General features: G+C 37.6%; 1 protein-coding gene across 2 annotated transcripts in view; it reads right to left on the reverse strand.

Moving 5' to 3' along the window:
• The window catches only part of MAOB (monoamine oxidase B), a 115,841-nt gene that overhangs the window by 68,008 nt on the left and 33,218 nt on the right, over positions 1-14,615 (reverse strand). The window contains exons 1-3 of one of the 2 annotated variants that reach the window (XM_017029524.3): positions 9,275-9,299; positions 9,053-9,147; positions 4,251-4,388 (exon numbers count right to left, since the gene is read on the reverse strand). In XM_017029524.3, the coding sequence (XP_016885013.1) occupies positions 4,251-4,388; positions 9,053-9,145 (231 nt within the window). In that variant the 5' untranslated portion in view covers positions 9,146-9,147; positions 9,275-9,299. Of the gene's footprint in view, positions 1-4,250; positions 4,389-9,052; positions 9,148-9,274; positions 9,300-14,615 lie in introns of those variants that run through there. The other variant, NM_000898.5, reaches the window with a different exon arrangement.

The following is a 14,615-nucleotide window of genomic DNA, read 5'->3' on the forward strand; positions in this document are numbered from 1 at the left end:
TGGATTTCAGAGTTGTCAGCAAGACTGAGGGGTTGTGCCAAATGCCTCCTCCTCTGTGAGGCTGTTTGAGCAATAGCAGCTATGGCAGCAACAAGCAGACAATATATTTGAGAGATGAATCCTCATTCGCATGCATCTTTAGCATTGAAGGTTGACCATATGCAATGCAAAAAGGACTTTGACAATAAGCTTTGTTTCTGCCCACTGGGAAGTAGGTTAAGACCAAAAAGTCCTTTTGCTCAGCTTCTCCAGATAGCTGAAGTTTGGAAATGAACATCAGTATGAAGTTGGACTCTTAATTTTAAGTCACACTACATCTTTATAGTGGCAAAACTCTTAACAGTTCAACCTTCAGACCTAGAGCAGTTTCATGGGTGTTTTACCAGACTTTACTTTCAAATTTCAGACTGATGAAAGCTTCTGAAACAGAAAAATTTTATTTGCCTACATTGTACCAAACCTTAGAATTTTCTCCAACTTCTTCAAAGAGCCCAAAAGAACAAAGACAACCATACACGCATGCACATGTAAACACACAATGAAAGAGAAAGAAACATAAGTCAAAATATAGCAGGATTCCTTAAGAAGTTTTTGTTTTTATCTTTTTCTTTTTAATTATGAAATATTCCTTAAAAGAAAACAATTTTTTCAAGTTACTTCCAAGACATCTAAACAGCTGCCTTCTAAACTATACCAGTGGAAATTAGCATGCCTATTTGTAAAACGGATCAAAAATCTCAGTAGATGTTTAACAATAATTGTAAAGTACTAACAGCTGCATCACTGACTCCAGAAGTAAGGAAAACACCTTCTAAATTATATAGATTTGAGCTGAAGCGATCCCTTTCTCACTGATAATTAAATCCCAATATAGTTTGGTATCACATCTTTTATTTATGAAGTTGTCTTTGGAAAACCCTACTTTAACAACATATAACAGATCTACAGAGCATTAAAAATGAACGCCACTCAGTAGATACAAACATGTCTGACAGATCAGATCAAGACAGAGGCCTGTTCATCACAGCACACTAGGTGTTTAAAGATGCCTATTATGGAGCTGGCATGAACACACTTCCTCTATCAGAAGAACATTTCTATGACAACTACCACAGAACTGGTGATATTGGGAGTCATCCTCTCTTGAGGAAACACACTCTTTCATGTGGGTAGTTAGTCCACCATGAGCTACTGTGCCCTTCCCCTTTTCTGGGTAGCTCCACTTCATTCATTTCAATATCAACCAGTATATCCAAGTTCCTTAGCTTAATGTTACTAAGGTTGCACATAAAACTCTATTTCCCATTATCAGCCACATAAAAAATTTTAAAAGCAGATTCTTTGATAGCAGGATCTGACAATATGGCAAGTAGCATACTTGATACTCTCAAGATTCAGATTAAGAAATACATGCATGTTCCCTGATAAAAAAGAAACAAGGCCCAAATATACTATCTATTTACATGAACTGTAGTTTGCCCTTGGGGACAGTAGTTATTAAAATAGGTAATAGAGGGCAGTGTTCAAATTCCCAAAGTACTGCTTTCCATGACACAGGAGGCAAATTTCTCAACTACATTCTCTAGTATGTGGTAGGAGAAAGAATGTCGAAGTTCTTGTTAATAATTCCGGAAATGAATGTAGCCATCCAAGATGCTTTTTACAGGTCAAAAATGAGAAAAATGACGTATACAAAGACATGGAAGTGGAGATGGTAGAGAACAAGTACTTAGTTTGAGAAGGACTTCTTAGCTATAAGGTCTTCGTCATTATGTATTATCATGTAGCTCTTCACTGCATGTGACTGATCACGAGGAGGCCAAATTGGCACCTTTGTCAAGACTGCAGAAACCTTTTTTTTACAGCATCAGTATTTTTTCAATTTGTCTCATTAGTGATAATTAATTTGAGAGTAAGTTACTACGTAAAACATATACACATATGCATGTGCATACAATTTCTTAAAATGCACTGTTATTTCCCATTTCCTCCAGCAGAGGTCAGAAAATAGCAATACAGGAATACGAAAATCTACGAACCAAGAGAGTATTTTAGAGTGATCTTCTCAAGATAGTATTATAAAGGGTTTGTTAATTGTTCTAGTTTATCTATATTTTCTAATCATATTTTTACAATAAACATGCTTTACTTTTGTCATAATTAAAAAGCAGTAAGACTTATTTTAAATATAAAGAGCATTATTGGCATATGTATTTACCCTGTATTAAGTAAGGACTACTGCTTAACTACTTGTATTTTCCTAACTGCACATAGAGTAATGGAAATAGTGAAAAAGCAGCACATTTGGCCATCACTGTGAAATATCATTTAAGTGTAACATCATTCCTGTAATTGATGACTCAGCAATTTCTCTCAGACAAGGGACTTAATGTCAGGAAAAAACAAAGCATCCTGGACATAGCTCTGAGCTGACAATAATCTCTGCACACACAAAGACAGGCAAGTGAATATAATCTCTGGTCATTTCCTTTGTCTGGAGAAATTTAAAGATCCTAGTGTTCTGAAAAGTCAATCTCTGCAAGCCTTACAGGTAGAATAAGACATAAGAAATCGGTCAAGAAAATCTACATTTAAAAAAACAAAGAACCCAACAAAGGGTGTTAAGAACTGTTGATTGATGTTCAACAAATCACATTATCACCATGGTAGATTTTCATTTCTAATTCATGTGTCTCTTTTTCTCCTAGACACATAGGGAAGGAAGGTGGAAAGGCTTATAAAATAAAATTTGGTATTTTTAGTAGAGACGGGGTTTCGCCATGATGGCCAGGCTGGTCTGGAACTCCTGACCTCAGGTGATCCGCCCGCCTCAGCCTCCCAAAGTGCAGGGATTACAGGCGTGAGCCACTGTGCCCGGCCAATATAAAATAAAATTTGAAGGTCAACCAAAACATTTATTTATAAATTAAGGAAAACTTTTACCCACATTATACCAAATTAAGTAACTGCTTAGTTCCCATTTTATTAAATGTTTCATGATTTATGGTCAGTTATTTGTTTCGATATTATCACTCACAAATAATATGAGGATGTCAAAATTGTTATATAAATCAAAATTGACCGTTGCTAGTTTCTTCTGTCTTCTAAGGGGATGTTTTCTACCAGTGAGGAATAAGTTCCTGTGCTGCTTACTTCCACCCACAGGAGCAAGTGAAGATGAGAGAGGAAAGACTGAAATTGAAAACCTCCGCCAGTTCTTCCATGGGACTCCTGGATGGGGCCCAGATTAGGTGACTGTCTGATTGTCAGAGAACATGAGTGACTTTGTGGACCAAGATGAGGATGCTGGAAAAACAGAGGAGCAGGGAGATGTGAAGAGAGTCTGAGGACCAGCAGCATGGTGGGAGACTGGAATCTGCAGAGAAATGTGACCAGTGAGAAATCCTCAGGGGATGCTTTGATCTAAGAGGTTATTAGAATGAATGTCCAACATTCAGTTCTAATCTGTTTGTATTTCTGCAAATTTAAGAGCCTTCCCCCGCCCACCAAACCCAAGCAAACTTCAGTGACGTTTGCTTTTCACATATGCTTGTGGCGGTCTGAGAAAAATCAGGACAAAGAGGTGAGTGTGAACCCAGGTTGGCATAAGCAAAGAGAAGAAAAGAGTCACAGGCCGTGAGATGTGAATGAACATAGGTATCATGGAAGCCAGAACTATGAGCCACAAATGATCACAGGAATGAGAAACTCAGTAAATTCACAGAAATCTTGGGGAGAACAATGAAGCTTCCTTGCAAAAGACGGGATCTGGGACTTGAACCACTTTGATGTCAATCTCCAAAGAAGAATAACTTTAGCTGATATATAGGCCACAATGATAAAATGTAAGAATATTCCATTAGGCATATTGCAAATACTCTTTACAATGTGCAGTCTAGGGCAGCATTTTAAAAACTTTGCACAGGTTTTTATATAACATAAAAGACTTCCCGGTATTTAAATAGATATTTAATAAATAAAGCACAAATGTTTTTTCTTTATGGGTTTTGTTAAACATTTTACCACATGGAAGATACCACTTCATCAATAACCTTCCTAAATAGGTAGAATTCCCACCTAATTCACCTTTGATAACAGTGAATGAATCTCAGAGTGGCTGAAATACCATTATAAAATACATTTGCATCATCCAGAGATATAGAAGATTCTCTGAGAGAATGATCTGGAATTTGTGTAAGGAAACATCATAGAGAAGTTTTCAAATCCTTCAAAGTCTGGCCTGATCTTACCTTTACATGGTGGATCAGACGCTCAACCTCATTCACTTTGTAGGTCTCCAATCCTAGCTCCTTGGCTAATCTCAAGATACGATTCTGGGTTGGTCCAACATAGGATCCTCCAAGGTCCACATATTTAACCTTTTGGTTCTGTTTTCCCATAGGAAAAAATTAAAAAAAATTTGTAAAAAATGTATAAAATAACAAAAGACAGTCCTGAAATAAGCAAATCGACATTTCACAAGTTATAGATACAGCTTAAGGGTATATCCACGAAAAACTAGATTTTGTTATCAACTCTACTTCATTCACATGACTTAGTTATTAAATCAATCTTTAAAGCAAAATTGATTGAACTCTGAATAGGCAAGAGCTTCTAAACCTCATCATTTACAATATACCATAACATGGCTTGGTTTTTAGTGCTTTGAATTTGTGAGCTGTGAATTATTGACGAATCTCTTTACTCAGTACTTCAGGTGAATGTTGAGGAGCCTAATGCTAGAGAAAAAGCAAGAAAGAAAACGATCACTTCTTATGTGATTTGTTAATCCAGACATTTGAAAATAGCACTAGGGAATATTTGGTCATAATTTGGACTTTGAAATTGCTTTTATGTTTAATAGTATATTTACGTAGTTTTGAATTGGTTTCATTTCCAATGACTGAGGGGCGAACTTTGAACAAAAAATTAGTAGAAAAGTTTCCTATTTCTGAGTATGTCTAAGAAAAACCAGGTTCCTACCAGTTAGAAACACTAGAAATGGTCCTTCTCTTCTGTTTTTGTTTATTTGCGTATTTTTTGTCTAGCTTTCCACTCACTTACCCTTCAAAAATGCAATTTTCACAAGGCATCTTTGTTTTACTCACTAAAGTATTCCAAACTCCTATAGCAGTTGTCCAATAAATTTTCTCAAATAAATGAAAGAAGGATGTTTTTAAAAATTCAGCACCTAATTGTACTAAACCAGCTTCTTTACGTAAAAGGCACTCTTATATGCTGTATTTTTCAAGGAATATGAAGATTTCAAGAACTGGGAGAGATAAGATGTACACAGGCAAAACCTTGTAAAGCAACATATAATAATTGTCCTTGTGTGGAACAGGTAAGTGGTATTAACACAGAAGAAAGGCAAGTAGCTTTTGATTGGAGTAGGAAGGGATGAGATCCTGGAAGTATGTGAAGATTTTGCCATACGACAAAGGTAAAAAGAGATATTTGAGGAACACATAATGGCAAAAACAATGGCCAGTAGACAACAAGGGTTAGATCAAGTTTGAAGGCTTGTGTGAAATCACAAATAACTAGGTCAGGCGGTGTATGTCACAGTCAATAACAGATAAGGCTTTCAGGCTTCTCTGAGTCTCTGGCTCTCAAGACTGGTAAGGTACCCTCTTATGCCTCCTATGGCACCACTCCAAGCTGTCACCCACCCTCACTGTAGCATTTTCCTTGATAAGCTATAATTAGGCAATTACAACAGTCATTGTCCCCCTGAGAGACTGTAAAGTCTGTGGAGCAAGGCCATTTTGGGGGGATTACTGTGCCTGATTCATAGTAGGTACTCAGTAGATATTTGCTGAGGACAAATTCAATTATAAAGGAGATGACTCAAAGTAAAGAATGAGTACAGAGGGCTGGCAAGATGGTCGAATAGGAACAGCTCCAGTCTGCAGTTCCCAGTGAGATCAACACAGAAGGCAGGTGATTTCTGCGTTTCCAACTGAGGTACCCAGTTCATCTCACTGGGACTGGTTAGACTGTGAGTGCAGCCCATAGAGGATGAGCCTAAGCAGGGTGGGGTGTCGCCTTACCTGGGAAGTGCAAGGGGTTAGGGAACTCCCTTCCCTAGCCAAGGGAAGCTGTGAGGGACTGTGCCATGAGGAACAGTGCATTCTGGCCCAGATACTTTGCTTTTCTCATGGTCTTCACAACCCGCAGACCAGGAGATTCCCTCGGTCCTATGCCACCAGGGCCCTGGGTTTCAAGCACAAAACTGGGCGGCCATTTGGGCAGACACCGAGCTAGCTGCAGGAGTTTTTTTTTTTTTTTTTTCATATCCAAGTGGTGCCTGGAACACCAGTGGGACAGAACCGTTCACTCCCCTGGAAAGGGGGCTGAAGCCAGGGAGCCAAGTGATCTAGCTCAGCAGATCCCACCCCTGCACATGTATCCCAGAACTTAAAGTATAATTTAAAAAAAAGAATGAGTACAAAATGTCAGATATATATCATTGATGAATCCTTCCAAAAGAAGAGCTGTGAGTCAGAATTTTATATGTCTTATCTCTCTGGAAATGAAAATACTCTGTAGCTTCTATATCTATTATTCAGATCTTGAATGTATGGAAGTAGGGCATTTCCTTGCAGAGAAACTTGCTTTGCTTGACTCTGTGTTTAAATAGAAAATCATTAATTTTAGGCAACAGTGTCAGAATTGAAACAATTAACCAGCAATTAAAATAAGGGTATTTATAAATTGGTAAATAATTCTTTTAAAAAAATAAAAGCTGAAGCAAAAACAAGAAGGAAAATTAGGCAGGTAAAAGTTTAGTTTATGTGAATAAATAAAAACACATCCATGTTCATGGATTGGGAGAATTAATAATGTAAAATGTCCATACTACCCAAAGTGATCCATAGATTCAGTGCAATCCCCATCAAAATGCCAATGTTATTTTTCACAGAAACAGAAAAAACAATCCTTAAATTCATATGGAACTACAGAAGACTACAACTAGCCAAAACAATCTTGTACAAAAAGAACAAAGGTGAAGGCGTTATACTACCCAACTTCAAAATATATTATGAAGCAATTTTAATCAAAACAGTATGGTACTGACATAAAAACAGACTCACCAACCAATAGAACAGGATAGAAAGCTCAAAAATAAACCCACACATTTACAATCAATTGAGTTTTGATGAAGATTCCAAGAACACACAATGGGGAAAGGACAGTCTATTCAATAAATGGTGCAGGAAAAACGGACTATCCACATGCAGAAGAATAAAAGTAGTCCCTTATCTTATACCATATGCAAACACCATATACAAATAATCAACTCTAAATAGATTAAAGACTTAAACACGAGACCTGAAACGGCAAAATTACTTGAAGAAAACAAGGGGAAAGCTCCATGACACTAGTCAGGGAAATGATTTTTTGGATATGGCCCTGAAAGATCAGGAAAAAAAGCAAAAACAGACAAATGGAATTGCATCAAACTACAAAGCTCCTGCACAGCAAAAGAACAATTAATAAAATGATAGTTTTCTTTACATATTTGCAAGCCGTACATCTGATAAGAGGTTAATATCCAAATTATATAAGAAACTCAAACAACTCAATAGCAAGAGACAAATAACCAGATTTTTAAAGAATGGGCAAAGGAACTGAACAGACACTTCTCAAAAGAAGACATGCAAATGGCCAACAGGTTCATGGAAAAAGTTCAGCACCACTAATCATTAGGGAAATCCAAATTAAAACCAAAATGAGATATCACCTCACACCTGTTAAAATGGCTTTTATCAAAAAGAGGAAAAATAATCAGTGTTGTCAAGGATGAAGAGAAAAGGGAACCCTTGTACACTATTGGTGGGAATGTAAATCAGTACAGCTATTACAGAAAACAGTATGGAGGTTCCTCAGAAAACTAAAAATGGAAAACTAAAAATAGAACTACCGCATAATTCAGCAATCCCATTTTTGGGAATATATCCAAAAGAATTGAAGTCAATATGTCAAAGAGATATCTGCACACCCATGTTCATTGCAGCATTATCTACAGTAGCCATGATATGAAATCACCCTAAGTGTCCATCAGTGGATAAATGGATGAGGAAGACTTGGTATATACACACAATGAAATACTATTCAGCCTTTAAAAATAAAGAAATGTCATTTGGGACAACATAGATGAATTTGGAGGACATTATGCTAAGTGAAATAAGCCAGGCACAGAAAGACTTATAAGTGGAATCTAAAACACGTTGAATTCATAGAAGTAGAGAGCAAAATGAATATTATCAGGGGCTGGGGGGTGAGAACTGAGGGAATGAGGAGTACAAAATTTTAGCTAGACAGGAAGGGTACAAAATTTTAGCTAGACAGGAAGAATAAGTTTTGAAATCCATTGCACAGTAACTGTAGTAATAATAATGTATTGTGCATTTCAAAATAACAGAGTAAATTTCAAATGTATCACCACAAAAAATGTCAAGAAAGTGAGGTGCTGAATATGTTAATTTAGCTTGATTTAATCACTCCACATTGTATACATATGGTGAAAACATCACATTATACTCCATAAATGTAATACAATTATGATTTGTTAAAATAAAATTTAAAAAATAAATTTAAAAATGGGAGAAAGTCTCTCCAAAAAAGTTTAGTTTGTATGATTAGAATGATTGTGTTGGTGTGAAGGAAGCATCGAAGTTAGGAGTGGAAAGTACATATAATTATGTTATTTTTCTTCCTATTTCTCTCTCTGTCTCACACACACACACACACACACACACACACACACACACACACACACACACACAGAGGCACACACATATCTGTCCATTTCCCTCTTACTCAATCCTAACTCTATGAGGCCAAATATCATGAGATGAAAAGACAAAAAGGAACAGAAGAATTGAAAGGAAGGCAAACTGGGAGAGAGGCTGTGAAGAATGTTTCAGAGTTATTTTCACCCTCTTAGAGTCAAATGAAATTGAAGACTTTTGGGGAAAAAGACAAAAATGAAACCCCAAACTCAGCTTCAGTCCCACATTTGTCCTCCGGATTCTTAATGCCTTACCCTAAGAGTGTAAGTCCTGCCTCCCACACGGTCCCGGGCTTCCAGAACAACCACATTCAGTCCAGAGTCATGCAGAAGTTTGGCTGCTGCCATACCTGGGAGAAAAGACAGTAAGACATCAGGATCAAATACAAGGATGCCAGACAAGCTCCTCATGCTAACAGCCAATGAGAAAAGTCCATGCTGGCTCACGTGCACCGCCTATTGTTACATTCAACTTACAAGTGGATACGGTTTGTCAATAGAGGCCCAGAGTCTGATGTTTCTGGAAACGACAAAAGGGATTTCATTTTTTAGTAAATTTCTCAAATCTTAAACACATCCTCTGCCACTATATCAAAATGTCTATTTTAATGACTAAATTGCATGTCTGATAACATAAATGAGAACACAAGGCCATGCTCAAGAGAAATATATGAGTTGCAGACACAGGACTAAGTCCAGTCACTGACTTCATTCTCAGGGTAAATATGAAAAACTGGTAAACTGAGGGACAGTGGGCCTTCAAAGTGTGTGCCAGGAACTGGGATTTACTATTAAAGTTGGACTTTTAGAAGTTGACGTAAAGTTTCAAAATCAAGGAGGTAAAATTCGACCCCTTATGCATCTGGATTTCCTGATATGACCCATCACTGAAGAATGAAATAATTCCATTCATGACTAATTTAATTATTAATTTAGTCAAAAATACTTAGTGAATGCCTATTACATTCTCACCACCATGAATTTAGCTCTTAAAAAAACCCACAGCTTTACTGAGGTAAATGTACATGCAATAAACTTTACCCATTGTGATGGTTAATTTTAGGTGTCAACTTGACTGGATGGTGGGATACCTAGATGGCAGGTGAAGCATTGTTTCTGGGTGTCCCTGTGAGGGTGTTTCCAGAAGAAACTGGCATGGGAGTTGGCAGACTGGGAGAGGAAAACCGGCTCTCAATGTAGTGGGCACCATCCAATCCAATCGGCTGGGGCCCTGCAGGGGCAAACAGGTGAAAGAAGAGGGGACTCTCTCTGTCTCTGCCCTCACTCTCTCTTCTGGAGCGGGATGCTTGTTCTCCTCCTGCCTTTGGACATCAGACTCCAGGTTTTGGACTCTGGGACTTGCACCAGTGACCTCCGGTGGGCTCTCGGGCTTTTGGCCTCGGACTGGGAGCTGCACCATTAGCTTCCCTGGTTCTGAGGCTTCCAGACTAAGCCAGCTTCTCTGATGCTCCAGCTCACAGTCAGCCTATCATGGGGCTCCTCTATCTGTGTGATGGTGGGAGCCAATTCCCCCAGTAAATGTATTCTTCTATGTATCCTACTGGTTCTGTCTTTCTGGAGAACCCTGACTGATACATCCATTAATGCAGAGTTCAATACATTTTGACAAAGGACAAAGCATAGTGTGGAGTACATGTATAAAGTTTGGGGTACTAATCCATCCTGGATGTAGTTTTTGACCTCAAAGCTCTTAAAATACTGTATTTTTTTTTAAAAGCACTCTTACAGAATTTAGCAAGCTTTCTCAGAGAACAGAAATCTGGTGCTCTTCCCATGATGAGTGGGCTGAATGTGCTCAGTTCCAATTACCTTCCTCATTTGCTTTATGAGACCAAATATTAAGGCCATGCCAAGATGCTCTCATGCCTTACAACGTAAATAAAACCGCTTCTATCTTGTCTTTCAAAAATAATAGTTCTGTGACTTTTAGACACCACTACTGCAAAATTAAAAAGATTCCTATAAAATAGCTAATACTCTTATTATACTGGGTTCTAAGTGTTTTAATAAATTAATTCAATGAACTTCTACGACCCCATGAGATAAGTACTGTTGACATTCCCATTTTATGGCCGAGAAAATCGAAGCCCAAAGAGATGACCAAGGTCGCATAAGGAGTAGGTGACAAAGCCAGTTTAACTGCAGCATCTGTATTCACAGCCATTATACAACACTGTCTTCCCCGGACCCCCATGGCCATCCTCTTCATTGATTGCATCTTCCAATTTTTGCTACAAAGAGAAATTACACTTCAAAAGATATTTCTCACTTTTTTGGATCAGCTTGTTTTTAAGACACACTTATATGTTGTGGTTTATAAGAATCCATATAACATAAAATATGAGCCCACATTAAAAACCATAATGAAAAGCCAAGGCTTTAGTCACCGTCTATCAGTGATCTTAAAGGAGGAATTCCCATTTTATAGAGAGGCTGATTTGACATTTCATTATTTGAGTTAATCCATCTTCCCATCCCTGTCACCGGGGGCAGAGCCAATGCTTCCAGTTGCTGATGGGATAACAGTTCCAAAGTCCATGAACCCCATGCAGTGCACACAAGCATTGCACAACCCTGATTTAGGAATACAGGGCACAGGATTTATAACCCCAGTTTCCTAATTTTACCTCCATAAGGAAAAAGAACCACTTCTATTTAAATTCAAAATTGCAAACAATTCAATGACATTTTTCTTACCAAGCATCAATTCAACAAATGAAATAACATGCAGCCATAGTAACAGCTATTATCACTGAATTTAGATAAACCGCTTGAGCATGCTGAGGCTTAAACAAAAGAGTTCAGAAGGAAATACATCGTTACTTGTATACACTAGCATTTTATATTCCACAAAAGGTACCGTCTTTTAGTAAATGCATTTACCCAATAATATCTGATGTTAAATATAAACAGTTATTAAAACAAACAAAAGACTTATCAAATCATTGAACGGAGTTCTCTATGCTCATGTACCTTAAACAATTATAAACAGAAAATTACAAAAATATCTTTAAAAAGGGCAACACAAAAATATGTTGCTGGAAGTAACTTACAATTTAGCTCACTAATGTTCATAGGGGGTAGTCAAGAGGCTTGTTGGAAATCAATTGACAGAAATTGATCTGAAAAAAAAATTGGTCCAAATATCAGTGGCTTAGGGAAGTCACTGCAATTTAGAAGGAGGGAATTTTAGGGTACATAGGAAACTGAGTTGGAGTCTGGTCAAGAGGTGATTAAGATTGTCTAGAAGAGGTAGCTCAAAAACCTCCCTCAATGATGACTGATAAAAGGACTAATAGTTTGACTGCTCAAGGACTAAGCAAACAATGAACTCTACAGAGCATCCCTCACCTAAAGACAGTTATTTCCCAAGAGTTCTTTTCTATGTTGGTTGTTTGGAACTTTTAATACATTTTGCCATAGAAACAAAAATATGAGAGATGGTATATCCTCTGGGAAGTATGAAAATTTTTGAGTGCAATACTATTGCAAAAAAAAATCATACAGTAGCAGAAATACATTTGCCTTAAAACATTAGACAATGTAATCGCCACTGTTTAAACACTTATGCAATAATCTCCTGATATAATGCAATTAACAATTTGTTTGTTAAAAATGAAAATACTGGCCAGGCACGGTGGCTTACGCCTGTAATCCCAGCACTTTGGGAAGCCGAGGCAGGCAGATCACCTGAGGTCAGGAGTTCAAGACCAGCCTGGCCAACATGGGGAAACCCCGTCTCTACTAAAAATACGAAAATTACCCGGGTGTGGTGGCGGGCACCTGTAATCCCAACTACTCGGTAGGCTGAGGCAGGGAGAATTACTTGAATCTGGGAGGCGGAGGTTGCAGTGAGCCAAGACCATGCCACTGCACTCCAGCCTGGGTGACAGAGTGAGACTCTGTCTTAAAAAAATAAAATAAAATAAAATGCCCAGAGTAATAACAGCCACCATCATAACTCATGAAGCACTTTGGTCTGGGTGAAGCGCTTTACACAAAAAGCTCAACTGATCCTTACCACAATGCTGAGGAATATTATTATCCTCATTTTAAAAAGAAAAAATGGCAGCTTAGAGACATTCAGTGACTTAACTGTAGGTTACGCAATTAGTAAGTGGCAGAGTCAGAGTTCAACCCAAAACCTGAACTCTTAGCCACTACCCTTGGACAAAAAACAAAAAATTAAAAACACAGTAACTCTACATATACACTGATTGATATAAAGTGTCTTAAAACATTCTACTATCTGACTAAATATAAGAATCTTAAATACCAGCTTTTCTCTTAGATATTTAACCTTTGCAAACAATTTAGGAGCAAGCTTATCATCACTTCATCTTTTTAAAAAGCTAATGACACTTGAATTTAACATGCAGTATCAATTATAATCTCACAACCAAATGGTAATTTGGCACTTTCAGAAGCAGTCCCTATGTCCCCATGACAGGCCCTTGGATGAATAATCATAGCACAGCACACACAAATAATGGTAGACTAATATTTGATGTTATGAAATTATAAAAATATTGCATCTCTCTTCTGAGAAGTTTACTTGGAAAAGGTTTCATAAAAGTGATGACAATCTCAATTACGAGTAGACACCCAAATTTTTTAAATACTTAGAAATCAGTGATGTACAACATGATTAGCATTCTGCACTTTTAGTTTTTTGCCAAGAAAATGGCCCAAGTTAGATGCTGTGGGAGACTGGGAAATACACAGTGGCAGTAACACAGAAGTGCCCTCTTTACAGTGTCTTAAGGGCAGTTAGAGGAGCCAGAATACAAAGGGAGGGGTAAAATCAAAATCACCACCTGCCTCATGCTTGGCTTTGTCAATCTGTTTCACACTCTTCATATCAAAATTTGATATTTAACAAAACTTTTTTAAAAAATTAAAATGCAAAGTTAATAGTCTTGAAAATACTACATAAGGACTCTTTCCCAGTTTAAAGTTATGAAAAGAGAGAGAGGGAATCATGTTAACCAAAATTGACAATGAAATTCACTATACCTCAAAGAATCCCTATTGTAATCCTGGTAAACTATATAGGCATTCCCTTGGGACTGTTTTTTTTTTTATGTTGTTGTTGTCATTTTTGTTTGTTTGTTTTAGTTTTGTTTTGTTTTGTTGAGACGAAGTCTCACTCTGTCACCCAGGCTGGAGTGCAGTGGCGCAATCTTGGCTCACTGCAACCTCTGCCTCCTGAGTTCAAGTGATTCTCCTGCCTCAGCCTCCCCAAGTAGCTGGGATTACACGCAAGCACCACTACGCCCGGCTAAGTTTTGTACTTTTTGTAGAGATGGGGTTTCACCATGTTGGCCAGCCTGGTCTCGAACACCTGACCTCAGGTGATCTGCCTGCCTCGGCCTCCCAAAGTGCTGGGATTATAAAAGCCAATAATATGCAAACATCCCTCATCACCTCTATCACTCTGACAAAGCAGTGGTTTTATGAGAAAATTCTAAAAACTACCAAGTCATCTTCTCATCAAATAACTGGAATTCTCTGATTTCTCTGAAGAGAATACTTTCTAGTTATTTAACACAAACACACACCAAAAAGATCTGAGGTAAGGAGATAAATATCACCAATTTGACATCAAATTCATAAAAGAAAAGTGGTTTTTGTAGGTAGAATTTAGATGTTAATTGTTGAACTTTTCAACACAGAGTAGCAAGGAGACCCTGAACAGTAAAGCCATCACTGAAAACAGCTAACATTTTGAGCATTGACCGTGTGCCAGCTGCTATTCTATGTGTTTTAAGAACTTATTTATCCTCCCAATAACTAT

The sequence above is a fragment of the Homo sapiens genome, chromosome X (genome assembly GCF_000001405.40).
Source record: "Homo sapiens chromosome X, GRCh38.p14 Primary Assembly".
NCBI lineage: Eukaryota > Metazoa > Chordata > Mammalia > Primates > Hominidae > Homo > Homo sapiens.